General features: G+C 46.2%; 1 protein-coding gene and 1 pseudogene across 1 annotated transcript, besides 4 other annotated features; both read left to right on the plus strand.

Moving 5' to 3' along the window:
- Positions 1 to 811, plus strand: LOC100419763 (zinc finger with KRAB and SCAN domains 8 pseudogene; annotated as a pseudogene).
- Positions 4,170 to 4,299: an enhancer, noted in NCBI's record as "active region_28112". NCBI's record gives its function as "activates an Ori minimal core promoter by ATAC-STARR-seq in GM12878 lymphoblastoid cells {active_cell/tissue: GM12878}" and the evidence as "EXISTENCE:reporter gene assay evidence [ECO:0000049][PMID:35858748]".
- Positions 4,340 to 4,389: an enhancer, noted in NCBI's record as "active region_28113". NCBI's record gives its function as "activates an Ori minimal core promoter by ATAC-STARR-seq in GM12878 lymphoblastoid cells {active_cell/tissue: GM12878}" and the evidence as "EXISTENCE:reporter gene assay evidence [ECO:0000049][PMID:35858748]".
- Positions 4,600 to 4,669: a silencer, noted in NCBI's record as "silent region_19718". NCBI's record gives its function as "represses an Ori minimal core promoter by ATAC-STARR-seq in GM12878 lymphoblastoid cells {active_cell/tissue: GM12878}" and the evidence as "EXISTENCE:reporter gene assay evidence [ECO:0000049][PMID:35858748]".
- On the plus strand, positions 4,744 to 8,307 carry C8orf33 (chromosome 8 open reading frame 33). The gene is made up of 5 exons (NM_023080.3): positions 4,744 to 4,774; positions 4,863 to 5,174; positions 5,339 to 5,423; positions 5,574 to 5,720; positions 6,295 to 8,307. Exons 1-5 carry the CDS (start codon positions 4,769 to 4,771, stop codon positions 6,432 to 6,434), a joined length of 690 nt encoding a protein of 229 aa, NP_075568.1. The 5' UTR covers positions 4,744 to 4,768; the 3' UTR covers positions 6,435 to 8,307.
- Positions 5,318 to 6,118: an enhancer, noted in NCBI's record as "H3K27ac-H3K4me1 hESC enhancer chr8:146278427-146279227 (GRCh37/hg19 assembly coordinates)". NCBI's record gives its function as "activates a minimal SCP1, AML or CMV promoter by ChIP-STARR-seq in primed H9 embryonic stem cells {active_cell/tissue: H9 hESC(primed)}" and the evidence as "EXISTENCE:reporter gene assay evidence [ECO:0000049][PMID:30033119]".
- Positions 8,308 to 21,798: the final 13,491 nt, after the last annotated feature.

Consider the following 21,798-nt stretch of genomic DNA (forward strand, 5'->3'; position numbering starts at 1 on the left):
CTACTCAGGAGGCTGAGGCAGCAGAATCACTTGACCTCAGAGGGAGGAGGCTGCAGTGAGCTGAGATTGTGCCACTGCACTCCATCCTGTGCTACAGAGTAATACTGTGTCAAAAAATAAATAAATAAAAGTTCTTACTGGAGAGAAACCTTATGAATATTATGAATGTGGGAAAGCTTTTATCCAGAAATGTATTAAGTACCAAAGATTTAATATCTCATGAATACAGAAAGTATGAGAAAACCTTTGCACAGAGCTCACACCTAATTCAGCATCAAAAAATTCAGTGGAAAGAAGTCATAAGTATGTAATTACTGTGGAAGAGCTTTCCATTCAAAATCACACCTTATTCAGCAGCAGATAATTCACAGTAGAGAAAAGGCCCGTGAATGCAATCAATGTGGAAAGCCTTCAATTGGAGCTCAGCACTTGCTAAAAATCAGATAATTAACACTGGAGTGAAACCTAATGGATGTAATGAATGTGGGAAAACTTTCATCCAGAGTTTAAATCTTATTCTGTCAGAGTTCATGCTGAGAGAAACCATATGAATGTAAATGAATGTGGAAGAGCCTTTAGTTACAGGTCACACCTTATTTCACATCATAGGATCCACACAGGAAATAAGCCATATGAATGCAAGGAATTTGGCAAAAATTCCCATCCAAATTTGTACCTTATTTGACATCAGGATATTCATCACAGAGAGAAATTACAGGAGTGTAATGAATGTGGGAAGGTGTTTGGTCAGAATCCAACCCTTGTTATACATCAGCAGATTCACATTGGAATGAAATCTGATAACTACAGTAAATGTAGGAAAGTTTTTTTGTAGATTCATAGCCCCTGCAGAACCTAAGGCAGTTCCAGGTAAAGAGAAACCCTATGGGTACAGTGAATATGGGAAGACCATACAGAATTCATACCACTTTCTGGATCAAAAAGAATCAAAGAAGAGACAAAGCCTATGAATCTCATGCATGTGCAAAAACCTTATATTATGTGTCAAAACTTATTAAGTATCAGGGTATGTAGTCTTTAATAGTTTAGAGCCTGTTCAGTAGCAGAAAATCCACTCTATCAATAAACTTTATGAACATAAATACTGTGACAAAGTCTTCAGGCTAATTTTAAGTTTAAAAAATCAGGCTTTATCATAGAAAAAAATGAGAAAAAAATAAAAGTAAAATGTGATCCAAACTTGTAATTATGTTAATGGAGACACAGTATATATAAACATATTTAGATATATGTTTTCTTTCTTTCTTTTTTCTTTTTTTTTTTTGAGACTAGGTCTTTCTCTGTCACCCAGGCTGGAGGGTGGTCGTAGAATTTTGGCTCACTGCAACATCCGCCCCTGCACCATCCCCCTTCCCACCGCTGCCCAAAGCAATCCTCCTGCCTCAGCCTCCCAAGTAGCTGGGACCACAACCGGCTAATTTTTTAAATTTTTTGTAGAGACCATGTTGCCCAGGCTGGTCTCAAACTCCTGGGCTCAGGCAATCTGCCTGCCTTGGCCTCTCAAAGTGCTGGGATTATATGCGGAGCCACTGTGCCCAGCCTGGATATCTGTTTTCTTAAACTGTGTCCTTCAAGGTCAGGGTACTTCTCTTGTTCTTTCACCGTACCCATCCCATTGCCTTATTCATTCAGCCCCTTAATAAATATTTTGGTGTGATTTGCTAACTATGGAAAAATCTTTTCTGAAGACTCATGTTTCCTGCCACAAGAGGAACCATAGAAAATATAGCACTGGAAAGGCAACAGTTCAAATCCAAGGTTATTCATGATTACATCAACCTACAATTACTGTGCAGCCCCTATGTGCCTGGTAGTGTGCCTGACAATGGCAAATCAGAGATGCAGAAACACTTGGCCTCTTTTCCTCATATCTCTCAGTCTAGTTGGGATACAAAGGTATGTAGAGACAGATAACCACATCAGTACAGTAATAGAGGTAAGAATACAGGGTTGAGTGGGGTCCCAGAGGTGGGAGAGGTCTACAGAGATGGCTCATTTTCAAAATTCTGAGAGACAATAACTGTTAACCTCAAATTGTGTTTCTATCCAAACTATCCTCCAGGAATTAGAATAAAAATAGGCATTTTCAGATGAGCAAAACCCAAAACACCATAACAGATTTCATTAAAGGAGCTTTAAAAGGATGTACATTTAAAGAAATGATATCAGAACTGAGATATAAGGAATGATGCCAGGCATGGGAGGCTGAGGTGGGAAGATTGCTTGAGCCCAGGAGTTCAAGACCAGCCTGGGCATCCTGGTGAGACCCCATCTCTACAAAAAATTACAAAATTAGCTGGTATGATGGTGCATGCCTGTGGTCCCAGCTACTTGGGAGGCTGAGGCAGGAGGGAGGATCAGTTGAGCCCAGGACAACCTAGGTGACAGAGTGAGACATGGACTCTAAGAAAAACAAAAGTTGTATATTTGAAAACACTGACTGTAAATAGAATTAAGTCTAATATGGCAGATTTAAAAACAAAGATAGAAATGAAGTCAAGACAAAAATAGCATATGAGTCAGGAAGGTAATGGATAAAATCAGAGCATTGAAAGTGAGGCAGGATAGGTAGTCAAGGAAGTAACCATGTCCTCGGGATGCAGCAACTGTTGTGACTGTGCAATCAGCACAATAAGCCTCTGCCTTCACATTGTGGTTAAGCTCTTTCAAGCAAAACTATCTTCAGTAGAGAATTTCCCCTGCAAAGAGCATGTACATTTTGATTTTACCTGTCCTCAGACTGACCTTTCGCTCATTATAATAGTAAAAAACAGAGCCCTGGTTGGAGGTTTAAGATGCTAATAAGACATGTGACATGTACGAACAATCATATACCAGCATGTAGAACAAGCATTGTATGACAAGAAGCATTGTATGAACAAGCATGTAAGAACATACAGCTACCGCACATGTGCACTCAGAGGACCATCCAGAACATACTCACTAGTAGCACCTCTTCCCAATTCCTTATGAATAATCATGTAAGACCCCCATAAAGGGAGTCTCCCTCATGCGTCTTTGCTGCCCCAACCTTATGAGCAGCTGGCCCTCAATCCTCTCTCTCTCTCTCAGGGTGTACTGTCTATTGTTCACTTAACTTTCCAAATATTCTTTCTCCTTTGTAATAAATTACTGTATGCCGCATCTCCTTTACTGCGTGTCCCGTTTAAATTCTGCGTGTTTTTTTTTTTTTTTTTTTTTTAGATGGAGTCTCGCTCTGTCACCCAGGCTGTAGTGCAGCGGTGCGATCTTGGCTCACTGCAAGCTCCACCTCCCGGGTTCATGCCATTCTCCTGCCTCAGCCTCCCGAGTAGCTGGGACTACAAGTGCCCGCCACTATGCCCGGCTAATTTTTTGGTATTTTTTAGTAGAGACGGGGTTTCACTATGTTAGCCAGGATGGTCTCAAACTCCTAACCTCGTGATCCGCCCGCATCGGCCTCCCAAAGTGTTGGGATTACAGGCGTGAGTCACCGCGCCCGGCCAATCCGCCGAATTTTGGGAGTAATGTATCACACTGCAGTAAATAACTATCAGTGATGACCAAACTGTAACCCTTCGAGACCTTGCAGACCAGGCAGCTAACACTTCCCACCCCACCGTCTCAGGAAACACCGCTTTCCACTCCTGTGTCCCCGAAAGGAATCATCAGACATCTCGGACTCTTACCTTCTCAAGCAACACAACCCACCCTCCTGGCATAGCCCGTTGCCCCCCTGAAACCCTACTCAGCCTCACCTCAACCCCTACGCAATTCCTCTCGGTTGTCATGCCTCCATCGGCGGGGGTCGAGTGTTGTGTGTGACCCCAGGTCTCTAGCAAGGTATAGTGGGAGGGAAGCATCCAGGGGAAGAGAGGTGGTGGGATGGGGCTCTCCCTCTCCCCCATACCGCCACCCTCCCTCACGTCCATATCCTGTCCAAGGCTCTTCCCGCGTCTGCTTCTGAAACCCCTCCACGTCCCTCCACCCCATGTGCCCCACTCGTTACACAAGAGCAGAGAGATCTGCAGAACATACGTCTACGATTATGCCACTCTTCAGATTTACATCTTGCAGCGACTTCCCACTGCGTTAGAACGGAAGTAAGCCCATGACGGGGGCCCTCCCAACTCTCAGACCTCACCCGAGCCTCCACGTCCCGAGACGCCGGCCTCTCAAACGACCGCGCCCTGACCCTCGCTCTTCCCCATTTCCCAGGGTCTTTGCCGACCACCCTCTTGCGCCGTAGCTGCTCACGTGCTGTTTACTTGCTTTTCCCTCCCCACCAAAAGGTGAGCCTTGAGAAGACACACCCTCGTGGAGAGCTTTGAACTTTTATCCGGAAAGGTGCCGGGCACGTAGTCAGCGCCCGCGATCACTCGCTCACAAGGGTTCTTCCGAGACCCCTCTTCAGCCTCTTCCCCGAACCCCCAGGCCCCGCCCCAGCCCCATCTCAGCTTCGTCCCAGGCGCGTCCCAGCTTCGCCCCGTCCCAGCTTCATCCCACCCCAGCCGCGCCCCGCCCCGCCCGCTCCCCGCCCCGCCCGCGCCCCGCCCGCGCCCCGCCCCGCCCGCGCCCCGCCCGCGCCCCGCCCGCGCCCCGCCCGCGCCCCGCCCGCGCCCCGCCCGCGCCCCGCCCGCGCCCCGCCCGCGCCCCGCCCGCGCCCCGCCCGCGCCCCGCGGAACCTAGAGTCGCAGGCGCGTTCTTGAAGGACGGAATTCGGCGTCGGACTCTGCGCCCCGCGTAGTTCCGGTGGCGACTGCGGCGCATGGCGGTGAGCGGTGTGGAGAAGACGCGCGGGTGGCTGGGCCTTGCATTGTTGGCGGCTCTCGGTGACCCTCGTGCTACCCCCCTTTCTCCAGGCCCTGGGACATCTTGCTGGGGAGGCAGCGGCGGCCCCAGGCCCGGGTACTCCCTGCGCGTCCCGCGGAGCCCGGCTTCCCGGCCCAGTTTCCAGCGCCCGGAATCCTTCCACTGTCTGTCTCTGCCCAGAGCAACCTACGTGCAGTAACGCTGACTCCAGAGCGCACCCGTTGGGCGATGAAGGCGGCACAGCGTCGAAAAAACAAAAGAATAAGAAGAAAACGCGGAACAGGGCCTCTGTGGCAAATGGAGGCGAGAAGGCCTCAGAGAAACTCGCCCCAGAAGAAGTTCCCCTAAGCGCTGAGGCCCAGGCAAGGGCGGGCTTCGGTCGGGAAGGGTGGAATCCACGGGTGCGAATCCACGGGCACGTGTGATCTGGGGTCCGCGGAGTTAAGGCGGGGAGGGGCATGGGATGGGGCCGGCGGCTATGGTTTTCCAGTGCCCTCTCACAGCCACTTCCCCAAATCCATCACAGGCACAACAGTTGGCCCAGGAATTGGCTTGGTGTGTGGAGCAACTGGAGCTGGGCCTCAAGAGGCAGAAACCCACCCCGAAACAGAGTAAGGGACCCTTCTGTAGAGCTGGGGGATGTGAACAGTGGCACTGCCTGGCCTGCAGGTGCTGGCAGAGTATGGAGTTGTTGGCTTTGCGGCGGGGTGGTAGGAGGTCAGTAATAGAGGTGTTCACTAGTCCTTTATTTTTATTCGCAGAAGAGCAGGCTATTGGAGCAATCCGAACCCTGCGCAGCAAAAGAACGCCCTTGCCCCGGAAGAGGCAGCTGATGCACTCCTTGTTTGGAGACTATAGGGCTCAGATGGAAGCCGAATGGCGTGAGGCCCTGCGGGCTCTCAGAGCTGGTGAGGAGCTAGCCACTGGTTGATTCAGGAAGGCCTAACTTAAGGAGGAAGTGTCTAGGGGGTGAAAGGAAGAAGGCCCAGAGCAACAAGCCTGGTGGGGGAAGGAGATGGGCTCAGGGAAGCCTGAGGGAGCAGGGAAACAGAAAGCGTGGACCTCTCTTTCCTCTTCCTAGGACTGAACCTGGGAAGCAGCGGGGAGGCCCTGGGAGGAGTGGGAAAGAGCATGGTCCTATGTTGGTCCTGCTCCTGGGTTGGGGAAAGCTGCCTCATGTCTTTGTGTCTTGGCTTTCTCTACTAGCAATGAAGCCATATCCCATAACAGTTTGAGTGCAATTCCTGGGGCCAGATCAGCTAGGTTCAAATCCTGGATCTACCACATAGTAGTACTAACACCTTTTGCAAACTACTGAACCTCTCTAAGTGGGGGATGATAGTAATATCAACCTTACAAATTTGAGGAATTAATCAGTTAATTTATGCAAGGTGGTTAGAATTGTATGGGCAAACATAACTGTACAGGTAATGTTAATTGTTATTATTCAGTTCTGACATACGCTGCTTCTCTCCCCGACAGCTGCTTATTCAGCCCAGGTGCAACCTGTAGATGGAGCCACCAGAAAGAAGAGCCAAAGGGTCTGCAGGCCTCGCTCTATATGGAGAGCCAAAGCCACTCTGGACATGCCTGATGAAGAGTTTAGGTTCAATTTCTTTTAGCGTCTCCCCGAACCTGAAACAATCCCCCTCCCTTGGGGTGGTGTAGGGGTTTGTTTTGAGTGCAGAGCCTTTCCAGGACTTCTGTTGTCAGAGAACCCTGGAGTTGGTCTGTCCCTGGCTGGTCCAAGGATTTGTAGCTGTTGTGAAGGTGTGAGACCATCAGATAGGCAAAAGACCCCGTTCGTTTTCTGATGAAATGTTCTCTCTTTCAGAAGAGAGAGAGAGGTGCATTTAGAAAATATGCAATAAATTGAAGTGAGTGTTCAAAGTATTGTAGAAGGAATATTGTACTCAGTCTTTAGGATTAGATTAAGTGGCTGTTGGTAACAAAGATTAGTGGAGAAGCTGTATAATCGTACACTGGTTTTCACTTTTGAAAGGAATCCCTGTCAAATGGTTTAGTGCTTAATGCTGTTATGTCATATTGCCCTAATCTCTATTTTTGATAAAATTGGATAAGGAGTGAAAGAGTATGCTGACCACCTATGTTAGAGGAAGTACAGAAGATGCAGGGGTGTGGTATCCCTGGGTCCAGTCCCTCACCTGGTACCTTTGTGCATGTTGCCTTCATTCCTGAGCAGGTATCATCCTCAGGGAACCAGCATGGCACCTACCAGGCCAGGCTCTGTTCTTAGGAGCAAGGAGCTTCTTGCGCTAACAGTTCTGGCCTGAGACCTGGATTGAGCCTTGGCAGACTTCTTGTCTAAATGTTGGCCATTCAGTCTCAGGCCCTCTGTTCCATGGAATTGGGAATCTCCAGGTGACCTAATCCTCATTGGTGGCTTGATGTTTGCTGGTATCTTCCAAACTCAGTTCCCAGACTAGATTGATACCTGGAGCCCAGCTGCCTACTCAGCATTTCCACTTGGGTGCTTCATAGGCATTTCAAACCTGATGTGTTTAAAACACTTGATTAGGCTCCGGTTTTCCTTTGGCTTCTGCTTTTCAGTGAATGGCATGACTGCCTATGTGGGTGGCAAGCCACCCAGGTGCCGAGGAAAGAGACTGAGGGCACGAGCTGTTCCAGTATAATAAAATATATAAAATAAGAAGAGTTATACTAGATCTAGATCATAGACATGATTATATGTGAGTATCATTAATCATTAGTTTATAGCAATTACTCTTTATTCCAATATTATAATAATCCTCACTCTACAATCATAACCTAGGAAAAACCAGGCCATACAGAGATAGGAGCCGAGGGGACATAGTGCGAAGTGGCCAGAAGACAAGAGTGTGAGCCTTCTCTTATGCCCGGACAGGGCCACCAGAGGGCTTGGTCTAGCAGTAACACCAGTGTCTGGGAAGATGCCTGTTGCAAAGTGGACCATGGTCTAGCAGTAGCATCAGTGTCAAGGAAAAACACCCACTACTTAGCAGACTGGGAAAAGGAGCCTCCCTTTCCCCGGGGGAGTTTAGAGAAGACTACTCCTCCACCTCTTGTGGAGGGCCTGACATCAGTCAGGCCCGCCCGCAGTTATCCAGAGGCCTGTCTCCCTGTGATGCTGTGCTTCAGTGGTCACGCTCCTAGTCCGCTTTCATGTTCCATCCTGTATACCTGGCTCTGCCTTTTAGATAGCAGGAGCAAATTAGTGAAAGTACTAAATGTCTGATATGCAGAAATAATGGCATAAGCTGTCTCTCTCTCTTCTCTCTCTCTCTGCCTCTGCTGCCAGGCAGGGAAGGGCCCCCTGTCCAGTGGACACATGACCCATGTGACCTTACCTATTATTGGAGATGGTTCACATTCCTTACCCTGCCCCTTTGTCTTATATCCAATAAATATCAGTGCAGCCTGGCATTTGGGGCCACTACTGGTCTCCGCGTCTTGGTGGTAGTGGTCCCCCAGGCCCAGGTGTCTTTTCTTTTATCTCTTTGTCTTGTGTCTTTATTTCTACAATCTCTCATCTCTGCACATGGGGAGAAAACCCACTGACCCTGTGGGGCTGGACCCTACATCTGGCGCTCTGATGTGGGGCTCTCCCTCGCTGTGTGAGGTTGCACTCTGAGTGCGGGATTCAGCGGAGGATTTTGACAAGAGATTCCTGAGGATTGCTGTTAGTAAGCTTGGTGGTAAGCTTGAGCACTCAGAGTATTCTGGGGACACCATGGTACAAGCCAGTACTAAGTACTCAGCTTATTTAAATTTTATAAAAACTCTTCTTAAAGAAGGAGGGGTTTAAGTTTCTACTGAAAAGTTAATTGAACTATTTGCGGTTGTAAATCTTCTTTGCCCTTGGTTTCCGACTGAGGGAACTTGAGAACTTAAAGATTGGGATGAGATCGGCCAACAATTCAAAATTGCTCATAAAGGGGGACATTTTATTCCACCCACCATTTGGTCAATCTGGGCTTCGGTTCGCTCTGTCCTAGACTCCTTACAGACTCAGGACAGCATGGAGACTGATCCCTCTTTCCTCTCCCTGAGGAGGGCGAGGAATTTCTCACTTCTCTTTCCCCTGAGGATACTGCACAAATTGAGACCATAATTTCACAGGCGGAATTCCACTCTGACATGCCTGTGCCGCCACCACGTATGCAAGAGGCTACCGCACCCCCGTTGTCGCTTTATGATGATCTTTTAACTGACCCGAATGAACTTATTTCCCCCAACCAGCAAAACTCAGCTGAAACATGCCAACAACCATTGTGGACGCACCCCCCTGCTTCTCCTCACCCTGTCAACGCTGCCACCCTGCAGACAGAGGATGAGATCAGGCAGCCTGAAAACGAGGCTATAAATTGTTTCCATGCAGCCCGGTACAGAGGCTCTGATACCTGAACAGCCCGGAGAGGAGGCTTTCAATTCTCGGCCAGGTAATGAGGCCCGCAACGATATCCCTCCACAGCCTGGTTTTCTCATGCCTGGTCTTTTCCCCCCAATCAGACTCCGGTAGAACCACAGGCTCCCTTCAGGCCTGGTTCCTTTACTCCTAATCAGACTCGCTTAGAGTCATAGGCTCCCTTGAGACCTGGTTCTTTTCCTCCTACTCAGACTCGGCAAGAGTCACAGGCTGCCTTGAAGCCTGGTTCCTTTCCTCCTAATCAGACTTGGCTAGAATCACAGGCTCCCTTGAAGCCAGGTTCTCTTTCTCCTAATCAGACGTGGGTAGAGTCACAGGCTCCCTTGAAGCCTGGCTGCTTTCCTCCTATTCAGACTCAGTTAGAGTCACATGCTCCCTTGAGGCGTGGTTCCTTTCCTACTATTCAAATTCGGTTAGAGTCACAGGCTCCCTTGAGGCCTGGTTCCTTTCCTCCTACACAGACTCGGCTAGAGCCACAGGCTCCCTTGAGTCCTGGTTCCTTTCCTCCTAGTCAGACTCAGAGTCACAGGCTCCATTAAAGTCACAGGCTCCCTTGAGGCCTGATTCCTCCTAATCAGACTCAGTTAGAGTCACATGCTCCCTTGAGGTGCTGTTCCTTTCCTCCTACTCAGACTCAGAGACACAGGTTCCCTTGAGTCCTGGTTCCTTTCCTCCTAATCAGTCTCCATTAGAGTCACAGGATCCCTTGAGGCCTGGTTCCTTTTCTCCTAATCAGACTGGGTTAGAGTCACAGGCTCCCTTGAGGCCTGGTTCCTTTCCTTCTACTCAGACTCGGTTAGAATCACAGGCTCTGTTAAAGTCACAGGCTCTCTTGAGGCCTGGTTCCTTTCCTCCTAATGAGACTCGGTTAGAGTCACAGGCTCCCTTGAGGCACTGTTCCTTTCCTACTACTGAGACTCAGTTAGAGTCACAGGCTCCCTTGAAGCCAGGTTCTTTTCCTCATAATCAGACTCAGGTAGAGTCACAGGCTGCTTTGAATCCTGGTTGCTTTCCTCCTAATCAGACTTGTTTAGAGTCACAGGCTCCTTCAAGGCGTGGTTCGTTTCCTGCTACTCAGACTCAACAAGAGTCACAGGCTCCCTTGAGGCCTGGTTCCTTTCCTTCTAATCAGACTAGTCTAGAGTCACAGGCTCCCTTGAAGCCAGTTTCCTTTCCTCCTAATCAGACAGGGCTAGAGTTGCAGGCTCTCTTGAGTCCTGTTTTCTTTCCTCCTAATGAGACTCGGCTGGAGTCACAGGCTCCCTTGAAGCCTGGTTCCTTTCCTCCTACTTGGGCTCAGCTACAGTCACAGACTTCCTTGAAGCCTGGTCCATAGTTGCCATGGTAACCTGGCTTTCAGGCCCATGAAAGACCTGCTTAGCAGGTAATCTCTTCTCATCCTGGCTTTCAGGTTCTCAACTCTCCCTCTATTCAAAATTCCCACTTTTTTTCTGCTCCTTGTCCAGTCGCTATTGCTGTTGCCAACACTACCATTGCCTCGCAAAAACAACAAGTTACATGTATCTTTGAAAATGACACTCCACTTATGAGGGATATAGCTCAGGCAAGGGAATACAGGGATCCTGAAGCCTGGCAATTTCCTGTAGTTTTACAACGTACACTACCTGCCACCCCAGCAGCACAAAATCACCCACAGCCCATTGTTGATCCTGCTCAGCAGGCGGCTGACCCCGCTGCTTATCAAGATCAAGACGCTGATAATCATGCCCTTCAGCCCGACAGGCTGCTCAGAGTAATAATGAGGCTCCGCAATTGCCTGCCGCTGGGGCACAGCCTGTATCTGGCATTCCAGCTCTTCAGGTGGTAGTTCAACCTGACCCCATACATCCAGGTCAAGTTCAGCTATACCCTGCTACTTGCGAAAGTTTTTCTTTTAAATTTCTCAAAGAGTTCAAGGAATCAGTAGAACAATATGGCACCAACTCTCCTTTTGTCATTTCCACATTAAAAGCCCTGGCAGAAGGTGAATGTTTGGTTCCCTATGACTGGGAAATTTTAGCAAAGTCAGTCTTACCTAAGTCCCAGTATTTACAATTCAGGACTTGGTGGGTTGATGCTGTCCAGTAATGCATTTGTCTTAATCAGGGTTCTAATCCTCCTGCTAATGTTACGGCTGACCAGTTACTGGGAGTGGGTCTGTGGGCTGCAATTCGACACCAAACTATACTAAATGATGAGATTATTGAACAATTGCGGAAATGTTGCTTAAATGCTTAGGACAAGATTCAAGATGATGGTAAAGTATGCCCATCTTTCATGGCCATCAGACAGGGACAACATGAACCCTACTCAGACTTTATTGCTCATCTCCAGGACACAGCAGAAAAGGCTATCCCTGATAGCCATGGCCAATGACTTGTAGAACTCATGGCTTATGAACAAGCAAATCCAGATTGTCAGGCGGCTTTTCTTCCCGTCAAAGGCAAAATTCCACCAGGTGGTGAAATACTCACCTCCTACATTAAAGCCTGTGAAGGGGTGGGAGGAACTCTGCATACAGCAATGATCATGGCATGAGCTATGGCCTCTATTAGAATGCCTGGACAATTCTCTGGCCAATGCTTTATATGCGGCCAGAAAGGACATATAAAAAGAAATTCCCCCCGGCGTACAGGTCGCCGTTCTTTACAACACCACCAACAACAAAAAATTTTTCAGCAACCAAAAGTCCCAGCTTCTACTTTATGCCCATCATTCCGAAAGGGAATTCACTGGGCCACTCACTGTCATTCAAGATTTGATATTGATGGTTATCCTTTACAGCCTCTTAACATCCAGGAAAACAGGATGAGGGGCCGGACCCAGGCCCCTCTAAACAATGAGGCACTCCTCAGCTCCCAGCCCCCAGCGTCCAGCCAGACGGGAGCCTTCCCAGTCCAATCCATTCAACCTCCATCCTGATTCCCACTTCAGCAATTTGTGCCACAAGATCTAACGGCTTAGCCCCAGCACGAATCTCAGTACAATGCTTGTCCCCCACCACCACAGGATCAGCGGCAGTGGATCTCTGTTGTACCAGAGATATTTCTTTGTTGCCTGGAGAGCCACGTATTGCTGTTCCCACTGGTGTTTTTGGTCCCTTGCCGACTGGCAGTGTCGGTTTGCTACTGGGTCATTCAAGTCTAAACTTAAAAGGTGTTCAAGTACATACTGGTGTAATTGATTCTGAATATTCAGGTGAAATTCATATTGTCATTAGCTCTACAGTCCCTTGGAATGTGGCAGCTGGGGACTGCATTGCTCAACTTCTGATACTTCCTTACATTCCTTTAGGATCCAGTTCTTGTACGAGAAACGGAGGTTTTGGTAGCACAGATTATCAAGGTAAAGCAGCTTATTGGGCCAGCAAAATTTCTGACACTCATCCTGTGTGCCCCGTGCATATTCAGGAGAGAAAGTTTGAGGGAATCATTGATAGGGGCGCTGATGTTTCTATTATCGCTTTACATCAATGGCCCCGACATTGGCCAGAGAAGCATGCGTCCACAGGATTAGTTGGTGTTGGTCAGGCTTCAGAAGTATATGAAAGTTCCACAATTTTACATTGCACAAGCCCTGAAGGACCCTGCCACCACAGGATCAGCAGCAGTAGATCTCTGTTGTACCAGAGATATTTCTATTGGAAATATTGGAACTATTGGAACTATTTGCCCCCTCATTACACGCATTCCTGTTAACCTATGGGAAAGAGATCTTTTATATCAGTGGGGGGCACAGATTTCTTTTCCGGAAGGCAATGACAGCCAGCAGAGTAAAGATGTTATGACCAAAATGGGATTTGTTCAAGGTATGGGCTTAGGAAAATTAGCACAAGGCATCACCGAGCCTATTATACCTACTGATGAATCAGACTACAGGACTTGGTTATTCTTTTTAGAAGCGGTCACTATCAAGCCTGCAGATCCCATCCCTTTGACCTGGAAAACTCAGAAACCGGTCTGGGTAGATCAGTGGCCGTTCCCAAAAAATAAGCTGGAGGCACTTCATATTTTGGTTCTTGAACAGTTAAAATTGGGACACATCGAATCCTCTTTTTCTCCCTGGTATTCACCTGTCTTTGTTATCCCAAAGAAATCTGGTAAGTGGCGAATGCTTACTGATCTTAAGGTGGTAAATGCTGTCCGTCAGCCTATGGGAACATTACAACCCAGTTTGCCCTCCCCCACTATGATTCCTGAGTATTGGCCACTTATCATCATTGACCTTAAAGATTGCTTCTTTACCATTCCTGTGGCCCCTCAGGACTTTGAAAAATTTGCTTCGTTGTTCCAGCCCTTAACAACATCACTCCTGCAGCACGTTACCATTGGAAAGTCCTACCTCAAGGTATGCTTAATAGCCCTACTATTTGTCAATATTATGTGGGATGCATATTAAAGCCAGTAAGAGATTAATTTCCCCAATGTTATGTTATTCATTACACAGATGATATTCTTTGTGCAGCACCTTCATGCTCTGTATTAATATCTTGGTTTTCTGCATTACAACAAGCAGTTACAGCAGCTGGCTTGGTTATCGCTCCAAAAAAATTCAGACTTCTTACCCTTATCACTAGGAATGCAGCTAGAGGACAAGGTCATTAAGCCTCAAAAAGTTCAACTCAGATGAGACTCCCTAAAAACTCTAAATGATTTCCAAAAATTACTAGGAGACATTAATCGGATTCCTCCCTCCTTAGGCATTCCTACTTATGCTATGTCTAATCTTTTTGCAACGTTGTGGGGCAATCCTGATTTATGCAGCAAAAGGTCCTTGACTCCTGAGGCAGATTCTGAATTACAATTTATAGAAAAATGCATTCAACAGTCTCAGGTTACCAGAGTGAATCCACATTTACCTTTTGAAATGTTGATAGATAGTGTAAACTTCTACTGGGGAGTCCATCCAGGAGACAGACCGAATTAAAGGGGGAAAAGGAACATATGCCCAGTAAGTATAATTTTGAGTTGCCCCAACTGGTGGTATACTTACGGCTGCACTGACTACCATAAAGGCAGCCAGAATTATATTACCCGTCGTTTCTGGAATTTCTTTTTCTTTTAATAAATTTTCCTACTTAACCCAGTAGCAAACGACCCAGTAGCAAACCGACACTGCCAGTCGGCAAGGGACCAAAAACACCTGTGGGAACAGCAATAGGTGGCTCTCCAGGCAGCAGAGAAATATCTCTGGTGCAACAGAGATCTACTGACGCTGATCCTGTGGTGGCAGGGGGCAGTAATGTTCCTACTTAACATTCACCAACAGGACTCATTATTCAGGGACATAATTTAATTGAATGGTGTTTTCTTCCACACAGCTCTTTATGGACACTAACTATTTACCTAGATCAAATTTCTATCTTAATTGGTCAGGCTCATTCTCGTGTCCTTCGTCTTTTGGGTACAGAGCCCCAAAAAATCATTGTTCCCCTTACCCAGTTACAAGTTGAACAGGCTTTTGCTACTTGCATCACTTGGCAAGTACATTTGGCAGGTTTCTCGGGTATAATTGATAATCATTATCCTAATGCGAAATTATTTCAGTTCCTTAAACTCACTTCTTGGATTTTTCCTAACATTACTAGAAACACCCCATTAGCTGAAGCTGTCACTGTTTTTTCTGATGCTTCCTGTAATGGCCGAGCAGCATATACAGGGTCAAGAGAACGTGTTCTTAGCACAGGGGCTATTTCAGCACAACGAGCTGAGCTGCTTGCTTTATGGCTGTCCTTGAAGATATCCCTAAAACAGTTAACATTGTCTCTGACTCAGCTTATGTAGTACATGTTGCTGGCAACATTGAAACTGCCTTGATCAAATTTCTTCCTGATGATAACCTACTCATTCTTTTTCAAAGGTTTCAGTCTGTGATCAGAGCAAGGTCTTCTCCTTTCTACATTACTCACATTCGGGCCCACACATCCCTCCCTGGACCCCTCTCGGCAGCAAATGCCTGAGCTGATACTCCCGTTTTTACAGATGCAGAAAATTTTCATGCCTTAACTCACGTCAATGCTGTGGGACTCCAAAAAAAGTTCCCCCACATGGAAACAAGCTAAAACCATTGTGCGCCACTGTCCTACTTGCCAAGTGTTAATTTTACAGCCACTGTCTTCAGGAGTTAACCCTAGAGGACTTTCACAGAACCCTCTCTGGCAAATGGACGTGACTCATTATCCTGCTTTTGGCAAGCTCTCTTTTATACATGTAACTATCGACACTTTTTCTCATTTTATCTGGGCCACTTGTCACCCAGGGGAAAGTACAGCTCATGGTAAACGACATGTGCTTTCATGTTTCTCGGTTATGGGCTGTCCTGAGAAACTGAAAACTGATAACGGCCCCGGCTACACTGGTGCTGCTTTTAAAAAGTTCACTCAAACATGGGCAATTACTCACACAACTGGCATCCCCTGTAACTCTCAAGGACAGGCCTTGGTGGAATGAGCCAATAAAACACTCAAAAATCAACTTTGAAAACAGGACACTAAAACAAAGAGGGATGCTGCTACTCCTCATGCTCAATTAAATCTGGCTCTTTTTACCCTAAATTTCTTAAACATAGCAAGAAATCAACCTTTTTCCACAGCAGAACAATATTTCACTGGAAATAAATTTGATCCACAAAAAGGAATGCGGGTATGGTGAAAATATTCAAAAACTAACAATGGGACTTAGGCACAGTTGTAACATGGGGTAGGGGTTTTGCTTGTGTTTCCCCAGGAAAAGGACTACAGCCCATGTGGGTCCCCTCCCGACAATTAAAATTGTACCATAACTCCAAAGATGAAACGCTCCCGGAAACAAAAGGCAAAGACTCCTCAAACCAAAGAGCAACTTTTGCTGCCTGACACATAAACTTCATGACCTCGACATTGAGACAAGATCTCGCCATGTGACATATAACACCTCTCATTAAACTCCACCAACATGGGGTCAAATAAAAGTTTTGTCTCATCAAACAGAAAATTTATTAAAAGAAAAAGGAATCCCAGAAACAACAGGTAATATAATTCTGGCTGCCTTTATGGTAGTCAGTGCAGCCATAAGTATACCACCGGTTGGGGCAACTCAAAATTATACTTACTGGGCATATGTTCCTTTTCCCCCTTTAATTTGGTCTGTCTCCTGGATGGACTCCCCAGTAGAAGTTTACACTAATAATAGTGCATTCATCCCAGTCCCTAATGATGATAGGTTTCCAGCTCAACCGGAAGATGAAAGTATGCACTTTAATCTGTCAATTGGCTATAAATATCCACCACTATGCATTGGGATGTCTTCTGGCTGTTTAGCTTATTCTTACCAGAATTGGATGTGGACCGTACCGTCCTTTACAAATGATTCTTATCGAGTATATAATGTGTTCAATACCAATTCTTTTCAAGTTCTCACTGTCAAACTTAATCCACCTGAGGAATGGAGAGTTCCTGTCACTACTAAAATTAATAAAAGGACTGCCAGACTGACCAAAGAAACCTACAAAGCGACCTTTTATAGTGACTTCAATTTTATGGAATAATTGTAATGCTCCCAAGGCTGTTGTGCTCCAAAGTCTAGCCACGGGTATTGTTATTGGTTGGGCTCCAAAAGGGCATTAGTGGCAAGATTGCTTTGGCAAAAAAACCTCATGCTCGGAGTTTAATTATTTGTTAGATTATATAGATGATGGATGGCAGTCATACAGGTTGAGACAATGGGTGTCTCCTTACCCATTTAAATGGATGGCTGCAGGCATTGTTCTTCCTAGACCAAAAATGATTCATCCCTTTGTTACCCCAGAACATCCTGAATTATGGAAATTAGCTGCAGCTATGACAGGAATAAGGATATGGAACACTACCTATCAACTCCTTCACACTAATACCAAAACACCCACATTCAACATCACCTTGATATCTGAACAGATGATACTCATCAGGAGCTGTGTCAAACCCCCTTACGTGCTGTTGGTTGGAAATATAATTATCATTCCCAATACACAAACTACAGAATGTGATAAGTGTAAGCTGTTCACGTGCATTGATGCTACTTTTAATCCCACAACAAGTATTCTCTTGGTAAGGGCTAGGGAGGGGTATGGATACCAGTTTCTTTACATCGTCCTTGGGAGTCTTCCCCCTCTATACACATAGTCAATGAAGTTCTTAAAGGTATCCTCAAAAGAACAAAGGGATTTATTTTTACTCTTGTTACAGTCCTTGCAGGTCTAATTGCAGTTACTGCAACAGTGGCAACCGCTGGAGTTGCCATCCACAATTCTGTTCAAACCACTCAATATGTTGAAGCATGGCAAAAAAATGCCTCCAGACCTTGGAATTCTCAGGCTCAAATTGATCAAAAATTAGCTAATCAAATTAATGATGTTCACCAGAGTGTAATCTGGCTGGGAGACAGAGTTACGAATTTGGAACATTGTATGCAATTACAGTGTGATTGGAATACTTCTGATTATTGCATAATGCCTTATGCTTGTAATAAAGATCAGCATAGCTGGGAAAAGGTCTCAAGACAGTTAAAAGCCTGGGATGATAACTTAACCTTGGATATTTCAAAATTTAAAGAGCAAATTTTCGAGGCTTCACAAGCTCATTTATCCACTGTTTCTGGCTCAGACATTTTTGAAGGAATAACTAAAGAACTATCTGATCTTAATCCCTTTAAATGGATCAAACCCCTCGGAGGATCATTGTTGTCACTGGCATTATTAATATTGGTATGCTTATGTTGTCTCCTTTTAGTCTGCAGATGCCTCCAAGAAGTCCAAAAACAAGTCCGAAGTCCGACGAGCAATGGTGGCGATGGCGATTCTAGTTAATAAAAAGGGGGGAGATGTGGGCGGCAAGCCACCCAGGTGCTGAGGCAAGAGACCGAGGGCACAAGCTGTTCCAGTATAATAAAATATATAAAATAAGAATAGTTATACTAGATATAGATCATAGAGATGATTATATATGAATATCATTAATCATTAGTTTGTAGCAATTACTGTTTATTCCAATATTATAATAATCCTCACTCTACAATCATAACCTAGGGAAAACCAGGCCATACAGAGATAAGAGCTGAGGGGACATAGTGAAAAGTGACCAAAAGACAAGAGTGTGAGCCTTCTCTTATGCCCAGACAGGGCCACCAGAGGGCTCCTTAGTCTAACGGTAACGCCAGCATCTGGGAAGATGCCCGTTGCCAAGCGGACCATGGTCTAGTGGTAGTATCAGTGTCAAGGAAAAACACCCACTACTTAGCCGACCAGGAAAGGGAGTCTCCCTTTCCCTGGGGGAGTTTAGAGAAGACTCTACTCCTCCACCTCTTGTGGAGGGCCTGACATCAGTCAGGCCCACCCGCAGTTATCCGGAGGCCTAGCCATCTCCCTGTGATGCTGTGCTTCAGTGGTCATGCTCCTAGTCTGCCGTCATGTTCCATCCTGTACACCTGGCTCTGCCTTTTCGGTAACAGTAGCAAAATTAGTGAAAGTACTAAAAGTCTCTGATATGCAGAAATAATGGCGTAAGCTGTCTCTCTCCTCTTTCTCTCTGCCTCGGCTGCCAGGCAAGGAAGGGCCCCCTGTCCAGTGGACACATAAGCCACATGACCTTACTTATGACTGGAGATGGCTCACACTCCTTACTCTGCCCCTTTGTCTTGTATCCAATAAATATCAGCGCAGCCTGGCATTCAGGGCCACTACAGGTCTCCGCATCTTGGTGGTAGTGGTCCCCCAGGCCCAGCTGTCTTTTCTTTTATCTCTTTGTGTTGTATCTTTATTTCTCCAATCTCTTGTCTCTGCACACGGGGAGAAAACCCACCGACCCTGTGGGGCTGGACCCTACATGCCTGTCTAGTTGATTTGGCAGCAAGCCTGTGTCATCCTCAATTGCTGTCTCCCCAGCACTGCATACTTTTTTTTCTTTTTTTTTTTTTTTGAGGAGCTTTGCTCTTCTTGCCCAGGCTGGAGTGTGACGGTGTGATCTTGGCTCACTGCAACCTCTGCCTCCTGGGATCAAGCGATTCTCCTGCCTCAGCCTCCCGAGTAGCTGGGATTACAGGTGTGCACCACAATGCCCGGCTAATTTTGTATTTTTAGTAGAGATGGGGTTTCTCCATGTTGGTCAGGCTGGTCTTGAACTCCTGGCCTCAGGTTATCCACCCACCCTGGCCTCCCAAAGTGCTGGTATTACTTATATACTTTTAATACTTCAACTGGCATATCAGATCTGTCTTCAAAATAAATCTCAAGTATTTCACGTTTTCTTTATCCTCACTGCTGCTCATTCTACTTAATGACTGTTCTTACCCTGCCTACTGTGTTAGCCAGACTGCCCCTTCATGTATGTTGGATCACTGTCTTCTGATTCAGTGACTTCACTGTACCTAGGATATGATATGAAGGCTGATGTACAAGGCCCTGCCTAGGCCTGCACATGTTTATGCTCCTGACGGCCTCTCTGATGTTGTCTCCCTCTGCTCCTGGGGTAACTGGACTTAATTCAAGGTCTTCAACCTTGCTCTTCCTTTTGCCTGGATTATTCTTCCTCCAGATCTTAGCATAACTGGCTTCCAGGAAAGTAAACATCAGCTTTGTGTGAGAAAGCTCTGCCCTATCATTCATCAGGCCGAGGTAACAGATTTAGGAAACAGATTTCCTGCATGGTCACTGCAGATTTAAAGTGTCATAATGACCCCATTGAGTGTCTGTTTTCCCACTGAGAATCCTTGTTTATTAAAATCATGGACAACCACTTTGCTGTTAGAAATCATCAGTAGGAAGGAAATGTCTGATCTCAAAAAGATTCCTTGATTTACAACCCAGATGCAGAGCTTCAAGTAAGGGGGTTTAGAACTCTGCATCTCAAGGAAACAGAAGCCTGGTTCACTTCACAATTCAGACCAGGTCTTTTCCCCACTACCCAGCCCTGTCTTGTTATGTGCCCATGAAAACACTGTTGCATTTACATTTCACCTAAACACGCTTTTGCTAAATCTTCTAATACTCCTGTCTCTTGTGAGATGCCTCATGGGTCTGATGTTTGGTCTTCCATATTAGAATGAGCCAATAAACTAACTGTCCACTAGGAACTTGGGATGATTGGACTAGGACTGTCCTTATCTTTTGGATCTTATCACCTTGCTGCCCCTCCGGCATCCCCCATTGGTGGTTGGCTCTTTGCTCCTCAAATCTTTTTCTATGAGTTTGGAGTGCTTGAGTAAAGGAGATGCTAGGGCAGATCTTCCCCTTTTTCCTTTGCTAGGGTATCCATGGTTCTTCCTCCAGGGGTTCCCTATTGGGCCCTGTTAAAACCACCCATTCTTGGTCTGTCCAGCCTAAGTGTCCCAGTTTGACTTGAGGATCAGGTTGGGGTTGGGTTAGGGTGAGGGTGATGGAGAGGGTTAGAGAGTGATGGGGGGTTTAGGGTGAGTCTTAGGGGTTAGAGTAAGGGTTAGAGGGTGAAGGTGAGGTTTTAGAGTGAGAGGATTGGGTTAGAGTTAGTTTTGGGTCAGTGATGTGGTTAGTGTTAGAGATTAGGTGTTAGGGATGATGGTCTAAGGGTTAGAAATTAGGTGAAGTTAGGGTTTGGGGTCATAGATTCAGATTCGGCTTGCAGAGCTGTTTGTCACTAACATCATTGTTTGCCTTCTGCTATAATCCCTCCATCACCTCTAATTTCAAACCCTTCCTTAACCTGGCAGAACTCAACTAAGGGCTTCTCTTATCTTAGCATGGTTATCATCAGGTTCCATTTCCCTTGGAAGCTTGTTCATACTTACCCATATTATTTTGTAATGTGTGCAGAGATATCTGGCTCTCTAAAATGTTATTTAAATCCTATGACCTCAAGTTAACAAGTGGATTTTTGGCAACCTTAGATTTTCTCCTTTAAGCATTCTTAGAGCAGAGCTGCTTCCTCACAGAGGATTTTAAAGTATTCTTCTTGGTTGCTTTACAAGATAATTTTGCAGCTTGCATATTTTTCTTCAACATCTTAAAAGGTTTCATCTACTTTTAGGCAGGGCGCCATGGCTCACACCTGTAATCCCAGCACTTTGGGAGGCCTAGGCAGGTAGATCACTTCCAGAAGTTTGAGACCAGCCTTGCCAACATGGTGAAACCCCGTCTCTACTAAAAATACGATATTTAGCCAGGCGTAGTGGCGCACGCCTGTAATCCCAGCTACTCGGGAGGCTGAGGCAGGAGAATGGCTTGAACCCAGTAGGCAGAGGTTGCAGTGAGCTGAGATCACGCCATTGCACTGCAGCCTGGGTGACAAGAGTGAAACTCCGTCTCAAAAAAGAAAAGAAAATAAAAAAGTTTCATTTACTTTCTTCATTACGTTTGATAAATTTACCAACTCTAAGTCCATCTGTTTTTCATGGGTTTGGCATCATTTACTGTCACCCTGTAGCAGGACGAGTCGCAGACAAAACTCGTCAGACACCGGATTAAAGAAGGAAGAGGGTTTTTATTCGGCCAGGAGCATCAGCAGACTCATGTCTTAAGAGCCGAGCTCTCCAAAAAATAAATTCCTAGCCCTTGTAAGGGTTTACAACTCTAAG

This window comes from Homo sapiens, chromosome 8 (assembly GCF_000001405.40).
Source record: "Homo sapiens chromosome 8, GRCh38.p14 Primary Assembly".
Lineage (NCBI taxonomy): Eukaryota > Metazoa > Chordata > Mammalia > Primates > Hominidae > Homo > Homo sapiens.

What these genes read in the sequence shown, in the direction of transcription:
- C8orf33 (NM_023080.3), top strand. An exon ending in CCCTAAGCGCTGAGGCCCAG is followed by an intron (nt 5,175 to 5,338) that starts GCAAGGGCGGGC and finishes AATCCATCACAG; the next exon opens with GCACAACAGTTGGCCCAGGA. An exon ending in GAAACCCACCCCGAAACAGA is followed by an intron (nt 5,424 to 5,573) that starts GTAAGGGACCCT and finishes TTTTATTCGCAG; the next exon opens with AAGAGCAGGCTATTGGAGCA.